The following is a 19752-nucleotide window of genomic DNA, read 5'->3' as shown; positions in this document are numbered from 1 at the left end:
CGAAAGGGCTGGAGAGAATTAGGTACGGCCTTTTTTGCCCTTCCATCCCTTCTGCCATATGTGGACACAGCATTTGTCCCCTGTAGAGAAGGCAGCAACAAGGTGCCATCTTGGAAGCAGAGACTGGGCTCTTGCCAGCACCGAACCTGCCGGCACCTTAATACTGGACTTCCCAGCCTCTGGATCTGTGAGAAATAAATTTCTGTTGCTTATAAATTACCTAGTCTTAGGTATTTTATTATAGCAGCACAAATAGATCAAGACACCAATCCATGATAGATAAAGAATTCTTAGCTAAGATTCAATAAAAGAAAAAACCTAATAAACTAGATTCATCAGTATTTATTTAAAACTTATGCTCTTCAAAAGATACATTAAAAACCGAAAAGACAAGCCACAGACTAGGAGATATATATATATGTATATAGCCACATATGTATGTACCCGAGTGTATATATATGTGCATGTATGTAACATTCTATACATGCACATGCACACATTTATATCCCAAAATACATACATGCAAACCAAGAGAAATGAAAACACATGTACACAAAAAGACTTAGACAGAATGTTCTAGCTTTATTCATAATAGCAAAAAATTAGAAACAACCTAAAGGTTCATCAAAAGCTGAATGGATAAACAAATTATATATTCACACAAAAGAATATTATTCAGCAGTAAACAAAGGAAGGAACTATGAATGTGTACAACAATGTGCATTAATTGCTTGGCATGTTTTATGCCAACAGAATACAGGCACAAAATAATGCATTACATCATCCCACTTCAGAAGTTACCGGACATGCGAACAAACTTAACATTGAAAAAAATCAGAGTAATGATTGCCTGAGGCACAGAGGGTTAAGCAGAGTTAAGATTGACTGCAAGGGGTCTAAAAGCACTTTGAGGCCAGGCATGGCAGCTCACGCCTGTAATCCCAGCACTCTGAGAGGCTGAGGTCAGGAGTTTGAGAATAGCCTGGCCAACATGGCGAAACCCCAGCTCTACTAAAAATATAAAAATCAGCCAGGCATGGTGGCGCATGCCTGTAATCCCAGCTACTTAGGAGGCTGAGGCAGGAGAATTGCTTCAACCTGGGAGGCAGAGGTTGCAGTGCACCAAGATTGTGCCACTGCACTCCAACCTGGGCGACAGAGTGAGACTCCATCTCAAATTAAATATATAAATAAAAGCACTTTGGGGGGATTTGAAATGTTCTTGATCAGGGTGATGGTTATAGGGGCATATGTTTGTCAAAATTCTTAACTATACATTTAAAATAAATATATTTTATTACATAGAGAATTTGATTAAAACAGTATATGTTTAAAATGCATTATCTGTATATGCATAAAATGCATATTCTATATTGATAAAAAGACTAGAAAGTATTAACAGTAGCGGTGGCAATGTAATGTTACCAAATTTTTTAATCTTAACGTTTTTATTTTATTCAATGCAGATATACATTTATAATAGTTATTAAAATATCAGTCTCCTATAAGCCAATTTTAAAATATTTTATACTTAAAATGCTTTCTGCATAGAAAATGTCCACAGGTAAGAATAAAACAATTTCTACAAAATAAATGCCCTTTTATATTGTCTGTTGAAGCCCAAAACATAAAATGTACTCCAGTCCTTCCAACCTAAGTTTCCGTCCATCCTGCTTTTGCCATCAAGCATCCATCTTTCTCCCTGTCTTTGAACTTTATGAAAAGACAATATATATAGCTACTGGCTTTACTTTCTGATTACCTAAGTCATCTCTAAACTTGCAGTTAGGGTCTTTTATCATTGTAGCAAATTTGCTCAAGTGTTACCAATGACCTTCCCTGACCAATCTAAGAGCTTTTTCTCAGTCCTTGTATTTCCCAAACTCTCAGTACTCAATACCATACTTTACCAGTGTTTTTTCAAAAACTAGCCCTGGATCACCCAGATTGCTGGGCCATATCCCAAGAGGTTCTGATTCAGCTGGTCTGAGATGGGGCTCAAAAATTTGTGTTTCTAGTAAGTTCCCAGGTGATGCTGATGATGCTCATCTGGGGACCACATTTTGCAAACTATTGCATTAGAGCAACCCCTTCATTAAAACTTTTCTGCTCAGTCTTTCCTAGTCCCTCTCACGTTTTCGATAGGTCACTTCTTGTTTCTTCTTTCTCCTTCCACCTAAATAGGTAGAGTAACAAAACCATTGAGAATAGAAGTTGATCTTTATTACTATCTGGTACTTGTTCCCTAAGAAGCTGGCCCTAATGCCCTTATACTTCTTTAATTCATACTTCCCAGCTTGTAGATTCAAGTCTCACCATTATTGAAGACAATACAAAGGCAATAATTCTAACCCAGCCATGGTCCTATTCCAATTGTCTATCTGGCATCTCACCATAGATATTCATTAAATATTCCCTTTTATTCCTCATTTCCATTAAAAGCGCTACTATTTCTCTATGGTCAACATCAATATCATCGATGAATCAATCTCTCTCCCACTCATTCTTCACATCTAACCATCCTTAGGGAGGTGAGGTCCCAGCCCAAGCTGTAGGACCTAGGAGTTAGATGTACAACAGCCAGAGCACTCTGTAACCAATTTCAAAGAAACCACACTTGCCCTTCACAAAGTTATTCCACTTGTCCTCCCTTGCCCAGCCCAAGCAGAAAGATCTGACAAGAACCCGAGAATGAGGACCAGACCTGGGCAGAGCAGCTAGCTTTTTAGTATCTTACTATTTAACACAGTACTTAGCACCTTAGGTATTTTATATTGGATTGAGTAGAATTAAATAAAATTCAAGCCCTGTCTAACTCTGTTGATTGAACTTTTTTTTTTAAGCTTCAATTTTCTGTATGAAAAGTGAGGGTTAATTAAGCCTATTGTGCAGGATTCTGTCGGTGAAAACATCTAACACACGTGAAAGATATTGTGAACACTCATGAACTATATCAAAAAGAAAAATAATTAGGGTTAAAAAGAAAAAAAGCCTTGGCCAGGCGTGGTGGCTCAAGCCTGTAATCCCAGCACTTTGGGAGGCCAAGGCGGGTGGATCACCTAAGGTCAGAAGTTCGAGACCTGCCTGGCCAACACAGCAAAACCTCGTCTCTACTAAAAACACAAAAATTAGCTGGACATGGTGGTGGGTGCCTGTAATCCCAGCTACTCAGGAGGCTGAGGCAGGAGAGTCACTTGAACCTGGGAGGTGGAGGTTGCAGTGAGCTGAGACTGCCACTGCACTCCAGCCTGGGCAACAGAGTGAGACCGTCTCAAAAAAAAAAAAAAAAAAAAAAAGCCTTATAAACATTTTACTTTTCCTGGATTGACTCTTGTACAGTAAAGATGCTACACCATGGGTATAAAACTGAGCTATCCAATATGGCAGTCACTAGCCACATGAGCACTTGACACATGCTTAGTGTAACTGAGAAACTAGATCTTAAATTTCATTCTATTTAAATGGCCACATGTGGCCAGTGGCTACCACACTGGACAGCACAGTTATATATCAATACCACTGTTACTGATAACCTACTGGAGTGAAAAGAGAAAAGCCACAAAACCTTCCCACCTTCCTCTATCAACTATTCTCATGTCACCATCTGAGAAACTGGATCTTAAATTTCATTTTATTTAAATGCATTTAAATAGCCATATGTGGCCAGTGGGTACCATATTGGACAGCACAGTTATACATCAATACCACTTTAACTGATAACCTTCTGGAGTGAAAGAGAAAAACCTCAAAACCTACCCACCTTCCTCTATCAACTATTCTCATGTCACCATTTGAAAGGCAAAAGTACAGCCAATAGCAATTTTTGGTGAACAGATGAAAAACACACTAAGTGAAAAGCCTTCACATAACAGAGCTGGCTTCCTATCAGAGTCTCAGAGAAATAGTACTGATTTATGTTAGGCTACTGACATATGAACACGGCTTTCCACTCTTGCTCTGGCTAGCACCAACAGAAACAGAAATGTATCTCATCCATCTGTGTATCTCTGGTACAGTTTGTCAAACGAATGGAATCCTTATACCAATGACTCTCAACTGTACTTATATGTTCTCTCTGGTTGGTATTCAAGCCCAGCATCTGAATTTCTCTTCCTATTTTTGAGAAATCCCCACAATTTATAAAGCAGAACCTGCTTCCCATTATATATTTACCAGCTTCATTTGCAGCTAGTGTACAGACACATAATTCAGGCTCCATCAACAAACACATCAACCCCACATTTAAGTGTGAACTAATGAGAGAAAGTGGGGACTGTGGCTAATCCATTCTGGATAGCAGCAGCAAGCACATCCAATTTCCAATAGGGCCAGCATGAGTGGTGTTAGGATCAGGGATGCAAAGTAACTGACACAATCAAGGTTCTGCAAAGTGTCTTCACAGGCTGAGTTCTATGATGTGATTTGAGGCACTGTTCCAGGCTGTATAGCTATTGTGGAAAGCAGAATAATGGCTCCTTAGAGATGTCCACATCCTAATCCCAGAACCTTGAATTTTATCTACAACAGGGATTTTTCAGGTGTGATTAGTTAAGGATTTTGAGAAAGGGAGAGTGTATTGAATTATCTGGGTGTGTCCAATGTGATTACAAGGATCTTTCTAAGTGAAAGAGAGGCAGGAGAGTCAGAGAAAGAGTGGTGGGGGAAGTAGAATATAGAGTAATGTGACTACTGGCTTTGAAGATGGAAGGGGGCCATGAGCTAAGGAATGTGGGCAGTCTGAAAAGCTGGAAAAGGCAAGAAAAAGGATTTTCCTCCTAGACACTCTAGAAGGAATGGCACCTTGACTTTAGCCTGGTAGGACCCATTTTGGACCTCTGACCTCCAGAACTGTTGTGTGTTTTAACCCCACCATGGTGGTAGTAATTTGTTAGAGCAGGAAAAGGAAACGAATACCGCTACTGGTCCTACATCTCCAGCCCTTTCACCGCTTAAGTGAGCCAGTGTTTTTTCTGTTCCTTGCAACTAAAAACCTAATAAACTCCTGTATTCTTCAATTCTTACATCTACAGTGTTATCAGCATTTCTTTAAAAAGACAGTGACCAGCCTGAGCAACCTGGAGAGACCCATCTCTACGAAGAAAAAAATTCCAAAATTAGCTGGGTGTGGTGGCGTGCGCCTGTAGTCCTAGCTACTCAGGAGGCTGAGGTGGGAGGATCATTTGAGCCTGGGAGGTAGAGGTTGCTGTGAATACGTGACTGGAGTCCAGCCTGGGTGACACAGTGAGACCCTGTCTCAGAAAAAAAGAAAAGGCCAGGTGTGGTGGCTCACGCCTGTAATCACAGCACTTTGGGAGGCCAATGCAGGTGGATCACGAGGTCAGGAGTTCGAGACCAGCCTGACCAACATGGTGACACCCCATCTCTACTAAAAACACAAAAATCGGCCAGGCGTGGTGGCGGGCGCCTGTAATCCCAGCTACTCAGCAGGCTGAGGCAGGAGAATCGCTTGAACCCAGGAGGTGGAGGCTGCAGTGAGCCGAGATGGCACCACTGCACTCCAGTTTGGGCAACAAAGTAAGAATCCGTCACACACAAAAAAAAGGCCTGTGACACAGTTTATACAGTTTTTGCTTCTTTTCATTGCTTAAGTCAAGTGTGCTTGGTTTTATGTAACAATGAAGAATAGTACTAATTATTCAGACTCTACCATTCCTTGAAGACTGAATATGTCAATTACTCTGAGAAATTCACGTAATTCAAAATGTTTGCAGTAAGTGCAATCTCATATATTATTAGCCAACATTTACTGGGTGTCAGTATGGTTCTAAGGTTGTCCCAAAATAATTAAGAGAAAGCCCTCCTCTTAAATGACAACATGAGAACAACATGGTGCACACACAAAAGAGAAACATCTACTCATTTACCTGAGAAAATTCTAAGATGATCCAAAGAAAGACTTTCTGGAAGAAGGAAATTTTCAAGAGCAATGTAAAGTCATATGAAAGAAAGAAATTAAGACTGGGAAGTGAGTAAAGGAAAGCTGTCCCTTTTCCTAGTTAACCACAGTCTTGCTGTCTCAATTTCAGGTAACAATAAATTTCCAAGGGTAAACATTAAATTCAAAGATATCAGGTCACATATAAAGTATAGCTTTAGTAATCTGTTACTTTTTAAAAGTTACATTGAATTTTCCTTTAGAAGCAAGTTATTATCCAAGATTTAAATTTCATACATGCAAAATTATAATCCTCAGTGTCAGAAGCTGGCACCTAAACATCTCTATGTAATAACCAAGTCAGTGAGGAAAATGGAATCCAAATCTTCTGCAGTGAAGTTATCCACAAAAACTGGCAAGTCATTCACTACTTGTACTATTAGCCCTGATAGGTCAAAGTTATTTTCCCCCATAATAGCTGGTTCTCAATATTCCCCAGTGTTCTAGGAAATAAACTGTATCTAAGTAGTGATACTAACTAAAGACAAAACCTGCAGAAAGAACAGCTATAATAAGGGAGGAATAGCAGGTCAACTAGTCAGTAAGATAAAGCAATCTAAATGAATTAATTTCAAATATACAAGAAAAACTTATCTCCCCTAAGTAAGTTTTTTGGCAAAACTACCCGGCCCACTTCCCGCTTATTATCTACAAAGAAAAAGTGCATTAGGAAGGTTGACACTGATGAGAAGAGTGTTCAGATTATATATGTTTATAATTCTACATATTACATTATGTTTTATATAAACAAAAATAAAATAAAAATAAAATCATACAATCCTAAGCAAATAAGATTATAAAACTATACAGATACAGATAGAATCAGCCTGATATCTAGGTTCAAAACCCAGCTCTGCCACTTTCTGCATGTATGTCTCCTATGCCTGTTTGCCTAGCTGTGTAACAGAGCAATAATAGTATACATCTACTATTCAAAGAGTTAATAAACACACAATATTTGGAATACTGTCTGGCACAACATAAAAGTGCTGGCTATTACTACTAACAATCATGTCAAAAGAACAAACAAACAGCCTCTCTGTGAAGTTATTCCTTATTGCTAGTCTATACAAGCCTCAATGTCAGAACTGAAAAAAGAAAAGGTATGTCAGTGTATGCCAGATTACATGCGAATGGAAGCTAACCCAGAAGCTATATGGCAGATGGTCTAAGAGTATAATAAGCCTTTCAAACAACAGGTCAAAATGATTACTAAAAACATTATTTATAAAATAATAAAATCACATACCAAAAAATTTTTAGATAAAGGATATTAACTCAGGAGTCTCCTAAGTTTCACAAAGATTAATATTAAAGGATATACCTATATGGCCACATCAGGATATACTGCACACCTCTCCCAAATCCAACACAAAAGCAAGTAACCCTCATACAAAGGAAATGCTAACAATTCCCTGTTAGCATTTAAAGGGAGAGAGAATTGTTCCTGGTGACACATTCTTGAGAACTGCCATCACTTGTAGCTTCAAATCAGCTGCCAAAAATAGTGGAAAGACTAATTGTTATTTCAGGTATAAAGAAACAGCACAGGTAACAAAAAAGCAGAAAGCATGAGGGTTATTGTGGTATGAGCTGGCCCTCTATCGGTGAGTTCCTCATCCATGGATTCAACCAATTGTAGACCAAAAAAAAAAAAAAAAATTTTTTTTCAGAAAAAAATAACAATTTTTTAAAATACAAATTAAAAAGCAATATAGTGTAACAACTTTTACATTGTATTACATATTGTAAGTGATCTAGAGATGATTTAGAGTAGACAATGTATGCAGGTTATGTGCAAGTACTATGCCATTTTATATAAAGGAGCACCTACAGATTTTGGTATTGTGGGGGTCCTGGAACCAATCTCCCACGGCTATGGAGGGATTATACTGTGTCTATCTTCTCATGTAATTCTCCTAGTAATTCTACCATGGTCATTTTACAGGTAGCCAAGGTAAAAAACTAGAGAGCTTCAAGGTTACATTGCTAGTATATAATAGGGATCTGAACTCAGGACAACCAAAATACAAATTAAGCCAGTCTTAATTCAAACTCCTTGGCTCATTCAACTTGCTATGCCGTGCCGCTGTCTTAGGGAGCCAAAAAGACCTGTGTATGCGTTTAAACAACCAAATTAATATATTACATTAGAAAACCAGAAAGCAATTAATCTGTTACATTATTTTCCTTTCATAAACCAGAATTTATGGCCAGTATGCCTTATTATTTGAGTTGTGGTTCTTAAAATGGTCTAACCTTTTTTCATCAAAAAACAAAACTAATGATTATTTCAGACAAGGTATAATACTGTCATTTTGGTTACTTAAACAGAAATTGAGGAATATGATTTCATAGAATTAGATGTTAAAAGTACAAAAATTTCACCTCATAATATATTACACAAGTTGTATGTATGCACACACACAAAATTCTGCAGATGTCCTAAGACACTCTTTAATGTCCAAATTTATCCTATGGTGGTTCTCTCAACACTATGCTTTTTTACTTTTTTCACCAGTAATAAAAAAAATTTCAAGTAAGCAGTCTTTAACTCATTTTTCTCTTTGAATACCATCTTCCAGTTGCATTTTCCTTTGATTACCTCACTACTAATTATCTCATTACTGTACAGTATCTCAAAGATAATCTGGTTAGGTGATCACCTGATACAAAAGTAAATAATTCGTAACCTTTCTAAGAGGCAGTATTAGTAAAACAGACACATCCATTATACTGTATCCCAACTAACACAGCACTGAAATACTATTATATGTCTTTGGGAAGGAGAAGGAAAGAAAAAGAACTCAACTTCTGCGATCTGAGAAAAGAACCCAAAGAGTTTTGGGAAACAGATGAGAATATTAATGCAATATAGCAGTTATAACAGACTTTCAGAATCATGCTTGTCATTTAAGACAAGACACAACAGTAGGAAAATGCCATCAAGAACTGTGAGAACAAAACACTAATCATCAAAGGGTCTGCAAAGTTTTTCTTCTTTATGACTTGAAAAAGTTAAATCCAAAGACACTTCACTTAACCTTAGTAACTAAAGATTTCTGATATTTCCCCCTAATGCTGTAGAACTTCTCCTTCCCACAACTCTACCTCCATTCTACCTCCTTATCTCAAGGTGAGGATTCTATAAATGAAGTCCTATTAGCCCAAAGCTGTTTTCAGAATTACATGTACATTAGTCCTCCATTATCCATGGGAGATGACTCTGTGGATGCCTGAAACTTCAGGTGGTAACAAACACTATATATACCACTTTTTTCCTATACAGATTTACCTATGATAGTTTAACTTATAAATTAGGCACAGTGAGAGACTAACAATAGCTAATAATAAAATGGAATAATTATGACATAAGCTATAATAAGTTATGTGAACATGGTCTCTCACTCTCTCAAAATATATTGTACTGTACTCACCTATTTTCTGACCACCTACTTTTAGTTACCATTGACCACAAGGTAACTAAAACCATAATTAAGGGAGGACTACTGTACTCACTAACACTGTCATCATTTCCCACGTAATCATTTAATAATGTTCCAAATAGCTATTTTTTTTTTTTACCTAAGATGAGGCTACTTACAAAAGTAGGGGGAGGAAATCTAAATCTTTACATATCTCAAGAGGAAGTACTGTAGGCATTATATAAATCTTTCTCTCTTGTGTCTCCCTATTCCAGTAGGAATGTGCATAACACACACCAGCTACTCAAATATAAACTGCTCCCTTAAGATTAATGACCAGGTTCACTGAAAAAAACCTTAGACCCCCCACCCCCACACAAAAAAATGCAGAATGAGATATGGACTAATCAAAATCTCTAATTTATATGGCCTAATGTGACTGGTAGTCTCAATCTGATCATAATGTTTACATCAACCAAACTCAGTCATTCCTAGTATCAGGATTCTTTTAGAGTTCTTCAAACACACTGCACTGAGGCATTTACTCATTTTGTTCTTTGCCTGCTATACTCTTCTTTTTTACCTGGCTAATCCTGCTCATCCTTTTAAAATTCAGCCCACAGGGAATGGTGGCTCATGGCTATAAATCTAAGCAACTTGGGAGGCTGAGGCAAGAGGATCACTTGAGGCAAGAGGATCACTTAAGGCCAGGAGTTCAAAACCAGCCTGGGCAACAGAGCGAAATCCTGTCTCTGAGAAAAATAAAAAAATAAGTAAAACTGAACTCTGGTGTTCAACTCCAGAAGCTTTCCCTAAACCTCCTATGCAGGAAAAGTTCCACTTCCCTTAGTACACTCATGGAATTCCTTGAAAACATTTCACACTGTATTTACTACATTATATTGAAATATTTGTGCCACATCTGTCTCCCTCAGGAGCCACTATCCTAAAGAGTAAGTATCGGTTCATTTTTATATTCTCAGAGCCTAGCACTGGCATACGGTAAATAGTCCTAAATGTTTTGCAAAAACAAAACAAAAGCATGACAATTTTATTTAACACCAATTATGTACACTGTACATTTAAAAGATGCTGAAACATGGTCTCAACCATACTTAGTCTAGCTGCAGAGATAAGTCACATATAAAAAAAGAGATCATTACAAAATTAAGAAATTACAAGTACCAAATGACTAAGATACAGGAAATGCTACAAAGTTTAAAGAATGCAGAAATCACCAGAGTACACAAGGAAGTCTTCACAAAAGAAGGTGAAGTTTAAGCTAAGCTAGTACAGTGTGGCACTTCCCACATGGGAAATGACATGGGAAGAGAGATTTAAGCAGGAATGCATATGCCATGATTAGAAAACAATGAGATTACTCTGGCTAAGGCAGTTGGTTTCTATCAGGGAGTAAGAAGATATCATGAGGCAGAGGTAGGTGCAGGTCATTTTATGGAAGGCCAACAATACCAGATAAATGAGTTTAAGGAAGTGAAAGCCATATACAAATACTTTTTCAAGACTATTAATATAGAAGCAACGCAAAGATTAATTGGCAGGGGGACAGGTGGTAAAGAACCTGAAAAAGAACCAGAATTTGTTAAACACATGTAAACCTTTGTTAACACTGACAGCAATTTTAGGAGATCAATGTTCCGTTTTACAAATAAAGAAATCAAGACACAGAAATGTTAAGTTGTTAGCCCACACAGAAAGTAGCAGATGGTGCTTAAAGCCCCAGATCAATGCTTCCTTCTTGATGCTTGCAGGAAGAAATGCAGGTAAGGTAACAGTAGGAAGAATTTTTCAAAAGAATGGGCAATGTAATTAGAATCATGAAATCTTGATGCTAAACGCAACAGAGCTCAGAACACCCTGTAAAGCCTCTGTGTATATACCACTGCCAGTATGAACTATTTGGTAATTGAGTACTTACTTGTATGCCCAGTGAAACTACTTGAGGGCACAGTCTCTTTTTATCCCCAGGGACCTGGGATATAGCATGGCCCAAACTGAATGTTTATTGGTGGAATGGATAGAAGGACAGATACAAGAGAGGGGGACACACAGAGGAAGGAAAACAAAAGTGTGAGTTTGAGGGAAAGGAAAACAATCAGTAAATGAATTTGGCCACCGTGAGGTCTTTGGCACCTTTGGAAATGGTAATTTCAATAATGTACTCAGAAAAAAATGGACTGATAGCAAGGGATTAAGGAAAAGTAGATGGTAACTAAAGGAAAAACATAGGTTAGGGCAAACTTGAAACGCTTGGCCATAAAACAAAGGTAAAGAAGGACAGAACTTGAAAAGAAAAATCAGATCAGGAAGGCCTTTTAAAGGAAAATTGAGATTGGTTCACAGAAAGTAAGATCGGTAAAGGGAATAATTTAAAAGAAGAGAGCGACACAAGTGAAAAAAGATCCTGAAGGATGGTAAACATTAAAGAGTACAGTTAAAGGAAGGGATTCTGTAGGATCCTGCCTGACCAAATTCCTTTTCCCTTTTTGAGGCCTACAGCAGCCACCAAATCTTTGAACTACCACTTCCACATCACCACTTCTCTGTCCATAAACCTACCTTATCTAAGAAAAACTTAGATGTGGTCAGCATACTAATTAATGCAATGTATTAAGTGAGTGAATCAATTTTTAAAAAACTTATTTGGAATAAAGGAGCCATGAGTTGTTCTTCCCGCCTGAAATGGCAATTTGCCCAATATCCACTTATTAAAATCCCATCCATCTTTCAATGTACAAACCAAATCTCACCTCCTCAAAGACACCCTCTCCACCCCATCTCCACCTCTGTTGGAATAAACTTCTTGCCTATACTTACATAATACCTTTGACCTACTATTATAGCTACTTAAATGTCTTTCTTTTAATTTGCCAAAGGCATAACCCCGGTAATTGTGCTCTATACAATAAGTATTCAATAATTGCCAGTAAAAGAACACAGATTTAAGAAATTAAAATATGTACAAATGTTTATGGATAATGTCTGCCTATGGTAACTAGCCTATTACTACCTAAAAGAAAACTGAAAAGAAAATCCAATCTGTGGCTTAGAGGAGAAAACAAGAAAATGAACCCATGCAGTGCATATATATCTTTACTACATATATTTTCTAAATCAGTGGTTCTCAACTGGGGGTGAATTTACAATCCAGGGGACATCTGGCAATGTGTGGACATTTTTTATTGTCACGATTGCAAGGGAAGATACTGGCATTTAATGGATAGAGGCCAGGGATGCTGCTGAACGTCTTACAATGCTCAAGACAACCCACCACAACAAAGAACTATCTGGACCAAGTCGTCAATAAGTGCCAAGGTTGAGAAATCCTGTTGTAAATGAAACAGACAAGAAAAAAACCCAAAGCTGCCACATAGTCTACTTGAGATTCCTAAAATTTTCTTAGACAATTAGTAGAATCACCTCCTCTTTCCACTGACTAAAAACTGGGTCTAAGGGAGAGTAAAAACAATGTTCCTAAGCAGCTCCATTTACACACTAACAAAAAAAGAGCTGGTTACAAGCTGTCACTTACCATGTGACATACCTGCCAAAATTCCACTCTTATATTTCCTTGTAAATGCTTAGTTACAATTTCCCAGACAGCTGATAAGTCTATTCATAACAATACAGCAACTAAACTAAAATATGGCTTGACTGCAAAACTTTAATGGCAATATATAATGGCCATCTGCCAATATACCTACAAACAGATGAATAATCCACTATCTACAAGACGTATGCTTTATAATTTATTCTCTACACAAGATCAATTAAACTAACCCATCTAAACTTTCAGGCACTCATTCATGACACTAATACAAAAATTTGAAAGGCTAGCCGGAGGCAGGAAACAATTTTTCTCAAGTATAAAACACACCAGCCCTTTTAAAGTGTGAACCACTCTCCACCTCAAAACTGCCTCATGAAACTTGCAATACTAGTGGGTCCAGATCTTACTGTAACACATCCATTAAAAACAACAACATAAAACTCAGCAATTGCTTCTTCTACCATGAAGGCAGAAGACCACAGCTGTTAGAAAGCAAAGAAATGAAACCTAAGATAGGACAGGAAGTATACATTTTGAATCCAAATGAAACCACAAGGGAAGCAGAAATTAACTGCCAAAATAATTTAGTCAGACAATATCCAAGCAGGTAATAAGCTATTAACACTGTTATAACAAAGACTTATAAGCCTAAAGAGACAGTCATTCATTCAAAAAATGTCACCACCTTTGGCTGATATTCCGGGACAAAAGCTACTTTACATTCTGTAAAGCATGTACCTGGTGGAAAGGAAGGGGATGGGGCAGGTGAAGAAGACTTCGTGGACCACATGGACTAAAATCAGCATGTGCTCTAAGACTTCTAGAAGCTTCAGGATACAGTGACTATCTGATCTAGCATTACTAGACTCTTCTAGAACCTGGAGACCATCCTATTTATATATTCCTCCCAATGCTCCCACTATCTTCTCTGTTCCTCTCCCCAGGCTAGGATAAGGCTTAGCTTGCTACTTTATCCAGCCTTATCTCCACTATCTCTCTGTTTCAAGATTTATAGTGATACATTTTTATTTTATACCATATTGGATATTTTACTTCCTATTTAAATGACAACCATTTTTCTGCTGGCTTAGAAAACAACCCTGTGGCTGTTATATTAGTAACAAAACTTCTGACAAGTGAGCCACTGAGATGCAGCGTCTTCACTATACATGTATCATACAAAAAATATATGTATATATACACACATATGTGCATAGACACATATACATATATGTATACATACACACATACACACATGTATATATGCACACATATGCACACACATGTATATATGCATATATACACATGCACACACGTATATATGCATATATACACATATGCACACACGTATATATGCATATATACACATATGCACACACGTATATATGCATATATACACATATGCACACACGTATATATGCATATATACACATATGCACACACGTATATATGCATATATACACATATGCACACACGTATATATGCATATATACACATATGCACACACATGTATATATGCATATATACACATATGCACACACGTGTATATATGCATATATACACATATGCACACATGTATATATGTATATATACACATATGCACACATACACACACACACACACACACAAAACAAAACAGATACTTTCTGGACCTTTCCTGTAAAGGAGTCTAACAGTAGGAATCCACTTCAAGTGGATCTCACTGAAACACTCACAGCATAGGAAGAAATTAGAGACAAAAGAGAATAGTGAAGGAAGAAAAGGAGGAAAGTTGAAGGGAGCATAGAGTATGAACAGTGGCTCCCACAATGGCAGCAGAAGTCATTCGGTGGCACCTGTGCCACCTTTTATAACAGGATTTGACCTGTTTGACTGGTATTCCCTATAGCTATGATTATTCTACTTTCTCATCTTCCAAAACAACTTTGATGTCTTCTCTGTCTGGTACTTTAATACTTCCCCCACTCCTGCTTTTCCAACTTTGATATGTTAATTTCCACTTTTCTTTTTTTCAAAATGCCATTATTTTAAAGCATAATATTATACCTCACCTGCGGCCTATCCTAACCTTCTCCTACCCCCATCAAATGAATTGTATTCAATACACCCTTTCTTTTACTCAACAGAGGTGTCAAAGTCTTTTAAAATCTTTCATTCTGTCATAAATCAAAAGAGAAAATACTCTGAATTCTCCTTCAATTTGAGTAATAAATTCCCAATGTTATTCGGCCTAGAACCCTCATATTTAAGATCATATTTTTATTTTTATAAAACATAACAAAGTATTTTCAACTTAACTGATTCTCTTAGAAGTCTTGTCAGTGTATTAAAAAGATACTTACCTTTCAACAAACAAAAAATTTCATTATCCTTTCCTGCCCAGAATATCATCATCTTTCCCACATAGAAGATAGGTTTTCTTCCTTTCATCTCTGCTCTATTTTTATAACTTGAGACTAATTCAGTTCCCTTGATGTTGAATTCTCTCTTTATTGGTCTTACTGGGACTTCTTGCCTCCTATCTTCATTTCTGACCCTTCTGAAACAGCCATCTTGCTCCTTGGTTTCCCACCACCCCACCATTTCAATGCCAGACATCCCAGCTCATTTACTCTAACAAATTAAAATTCAGCCAAGACAAAACTAATTTTCATCTACATGAGGCAGGATCTGTAGCTATAGAGATTAAAAATTGCCCAGTCATGATCTTCCACCACTGACAAAGGTAGGCAAGAAAATTCTTCAAGTCAAGGTCACGAAAACAATTGCTACACCCCCCAACCACATCCATTCAGCAATACTCGGCATCCTCCCTGAAGTGTCTATAAAAACCAACAGTTCTATTTTCAAAGAACGTGAACATAATGCTTCCCTAAAGACATTCTCTAGTGTCCCCACTGCAGACTTTAAATGGAATGATTATCTAAAAGAGGAGGAGGGAAATTCAGACTGGCACAAGCCTTTATGATTCCCACAACCACCACCTAGGTCTCAGACTTCTAACACTTGTTTTAATTTACTTAGGACAAATGCCTAAGATTGAGACAAGACTGGCTCCAGGAATCTTTAAGGGACCCCAGGACCTATGCCTCCCCCATTTTGCCTGCTCAATTTTAGCTGAAAAATATCATTGTATTCATTTTTTTTCTCCCTTCTTCAAAGAACTAAGTTCATCTCAAACTATCATTGATTCCACATCTAAGGAAGTCTTCCCTACCATGTCAAGCTATAAAATATAAGGCACATTAACAAGAAGCCTCTCAAAGTCCACTGATCTTCCCCATTAAAAGTACCACCACTCTGCCAATTTGTTTTTCATAACTTTCTAGATCCACTGCCAGTACCTTATTCAGGACCAAAGTCCCAAAGGGAATCTTTTGTAAGGAAAAGAACCTTACAAAAAGGACCAATTTTGAAGTCTTCCCCTTTTCTAAGCAGTAGTCACTCCCCAATTAATGTCAGGCTCTAACAACCTTACTTTTCTCTGTTATCCACCACTACATTACACAGAGTCATTTTCCTAACACATAGCTGTGAACATATTAATTCTAGCAAATCATCTCAGATTCTCCATTGTCTACCCATTTTAACTATAAATTATGGAACATGATATTCAGGATCCTCTTAAATATGGTCACCTTATCAAATAGGATTTCCCCGACCACTTTGTCCAGATAAAACAGTACATCCCTGTCTTACTTTATTCCTCTTCCTAGTGCTTGTGACCACCTGATATATATTTAACTGCTATGTTTACTGACTGTGCCCTTCTACTATAATATATCCTCCCATGTTCACCCTTTTATTCACCAGTGTACCCTCAACACTAGAATATATTATGTTCTCAACTTATATTTGTGGAAAGAACAGATGAATACTGACATGCAGTGTACTACAGCTGACTTGAAGTTAGAAGACCTACATTTCAGTTAGTTTCCACATACCAGCTATATGAGCCTCAACAATTTTACCTTCTTTGGGCTTACATTCCTCATGTGTAAAAGGAAAGGGTCAAACTTGATAATCTCTACAACTCTTAAGTTTTCTCAGCTATATCACACTACCTTGTTGTCTAACTGGACTGAATACCTCCCTTCCCCCCAGCTTCCCTACCTACATAACTCTGCTCAGTTTCCTTCCATTTGGAATTCCCCGCTTCTCAATCCACATCTGTCAAAATGAACATTAAGGATGAACAATATCCTAAGTGCCATTTTCTTGAAGTCTAACAAAGTGTAAGCTCTGTAAAAGGAGGGTGGAGTTGTTCTTTTTCTATTCTCAGATGTTGGTACAATGCCTCCCATACAGGTGATCAACAAAACAACTAATGAATCATGAGTACATGAATGAGCAAATAAACAAAGTCTTTCCTGATTTCCTCCCATTGCTCAGGTGATCTCCTGCCTTTGGACTCAAAACACTTCGTATCTTTTATTTTTATTTATGTATTTACTTATTTATTGAGACGAAGTTTCACTCTTGTTGCCCAGGCTGGAGTGCAATGACGCCATCTCGGCTCACTGCAACCTCTGCCTCCCGGGTTCAAGCGATTCTCCTGCCTCAGCCTCCCGAGTAGCCGGCATTACAGGCGCCCACCACCATGCCCAGCTAATTTTTTGTATTTTTAGTAGAGACGTGGTTTCACCATGCTGGCCAGGCTGGTCTTGAACTCCTGACCTCAGGTGATCCTCCCGCCTAGGCCTCCCAAAGTGCTGGGATTACAGGCGTGAGCCCCCGTGCCCGGCAACGTTTGGTATCTTTCATGGTACTTACACTCTGTGCTGTTTAATTTACTTGCCTAACAGATACTCAACTGCAAATTCCTTAAGACTAATCAGCACCCTGATGGTTTCCATCTCTCTATAGCACCTACAACAGATCTTTGTCATAGCTATATTTATTTGAAATATTAAACAACAAAGGGATATCTAAGATGAAAAAAAGGACCTCAAATTACAGACATCATTCCAACTGTCCTGTGGTCACTGGGCATATATGTTGTGTTAAAATCAAGCATTCAAGCATTGTTCAAATATCTCATCATTCTCTTCTCTCCCTATTATGCTTAATAAAACTTTACTACTTTAAAAATTATAATGGCCACCCTATGTATCAGGTAACTACACACCTCTTGCAATATACATATAGGGATCCACACACGTCAATACTTTCATGTCACTAAACAGCTAAAGTGACTTTTCCACTCATTTCAGACTTCCACCTCATCCAACTCCCTCCTCCGCAAGGTATGAAACAATTTTTTAAAAAACATCTTTCCATAAGGCCTCCCTTTCTTAGTTCTGCTCCTGAAAGACAAAAAGGACCAATTTTAAAGTCTTCCCCTTTTCTAAGCAGTAGTCACTCCCCAGTTAATTTCAGGATCTAACAACCTTACTTTTCTCTATCAAGATTTTTGACCCACTTTACCTCTGCCTCCAAGCTCTTACTCAGCTTCCATGGAACCTTTCAGCTGACACAAAAGCTGGTGTCCTTCCATTCAATATGTTCTCGCCATCAGGTACTAAGTTCAACCTATCTACATCTTCATCCTGAAATGTGCATCAATCGCCGCGCCCCCCACCCCAGACACACATCTCGCACACACACACACTATTCCCATGTGTCACTCTACCTCTGACATACAAGTTCCTTACACCACTCTTAATGAATACACACGACTCTCAGAATGGTATCTTCCGACTACACTGATTCTAACCCAGTTTCTTCTGAAAAACCCAACCTTGTCCACAGTGCCTCCCTCTTTCCTCACTTCCCCATCTATTCCCCTTCACGCCTCCCCACACCGCCAACTAACTACAGATGACATTATTCCTCAATACTCCCAACCCGAGAATGAAGAACAAGCTCCAGTTTCCTGCGGTCTCCCTCTCCCCCTGTCTGCCCTCCGCGGTTCCCCCGCCCCAACACCCCAGGTGTGCAGACTTCCTCCCCGTCCTCTACTCATGCATCGCTCCAACCAATCCCACGCCACACCACGAGTCCCCTGCCACGGGGATCAGACTCCTCCACACCCACCTCCACTCGGGGTCGCCGCCGCCTCCCCGGACGTTTCTCTCCACCCCTCGCTAGCAAACCCGAGACCAAGGGCGCGCGCGCACATTCTCACGCTTCCCCAACCTCCCTCCTCGCACCGGGACGAGCCGGCTTCGCCAGAGCTCAGCCCGGGCGGTAGGGGCTAGGCACCCATACCCGTTCCGCCCCCTCCCGCAGATCCCCTTGCAGTCTCCGCCGACCTGCCCGGCGAGGAGAGGACGCAGCAACTCCCCCGCCACCCCGGACTTACCTCGGTGTCTGTTGCTCCATGCCCCAACCTGCGGCCCGCTCCCCCTACGTACCAGCCCGGCCTCGGCACTCACCGGAGGTACTGCGCGCTCTGCAGGCTCATCCTCCGCCGCCGCCGCCGCGTCTTCCCGCGAAGCCTCCGTGGGTCTCTCAGGCTCCTCGGAGCGGCCCCGCGGCACCGCGGGTGCTGGCGGCCGCCGCCATCTTCCTCTCCTCCGGCTCCTCCTCGCTCGGCAGGGGGGTGGGGGTGAATGAGGCGAGGGGGAGGGAGTGGGGAAAGCTGCTCTCGCTGCTGCTCTGGCCCGTGGGGCGCAGGGACACTCCGACCCGGGGGGGAGGGGGAGGGAGGAGGGGCGGGGGAAAGAGGAGAAGCAGAGGAAGTCGGCGACCGGGCGAGGGAGGGGGTCCCTCTCGCGAGATTTCAGCAGCGCCTGTCCCTCAGTGATTTCCGCCTCTCTGTAGCGCTCCCTTTTGGGATCAACGAGCTGTGTGGCGCC

At 39.5% G+C, this 19752-nt stretch overlaps 1 protein-coding gene across 28 annotated transcripts in view, besides 2 other annotated features; it reads right to left on the bottom strand.

Annotated features, from left to right (window-relative positions):
* SMG7 (SMG7 nonsense mediated mRNA decay factor) overlaps window positions 1-19480 on the bottom strand; it is an 81693-nt gene extending 62213 nt beyond the window's left edge. For 21 of the 28 annotated variants that reach the window (NM_001394145.1, NM_001350220.2, NM_001394136.1 and 18 more), the window contains exon 1: window positions 19330-19480. Coding sequence is in view for 5 of the 28 variants with exons in the window: in NM_001375584.1 (NP_001362513.1) it covers window positions 19330-19358 (29 nt within the window). In the remaining 23 variants the exon portion in view is untranslated. Of the gene's footprint in view, window positions 1-18080; window positions 18259-19329 lie in introns of those variants that run through there. The other 7 variants (NM_001394134.1, NM_001394138.1, NM_001394140.1 and 4 more) reach the window with 2 other exon arrangements.
* Window positions 10979-11058: an enhancer, noted in NCBI's record as "active region_2214". NCBI's record gives its function as "activates an Ori minimal core promoter by ATAC-STARR-seq in GM12878 lymphoblastoid cells {active_cell/tissue: GM12878}" and the evidence as "EXISTENCE:reporter gene assay evidence [ECO:0000049][PMID:35858748]".
* Window positions 19493-19642: a silencer, noted in NCBI's record as "silent region_1631". NCBI's record gives its function as "represses an Ori minimal core promoter by ATAC-STARR-seq in GM12878 lymphoblastoid cells {active_cell/tissue: GM12878}" and the evidence as "EXISTENCE:reporter gene assay evidence [ECO:0000049][PMID:35858748]".

Source organism: Homo sapiens, chromosome 1, assembly GCF_000001405.40.
Source record: "Homo sapiens chromosome 1, GRCh38.p14 Primary Assembly".
NCBI classification, from domain to species: Eukaryota; Metazoa; Chordata; class Mammalia; order Primates; family Hominidae; genus Homo; species Homo sapiens.
The sequence above is the reverse complement of the archived record's forward strand: the minus strand, read 5'-3'. Positions and strand labels throughout refer to the sequence as shown.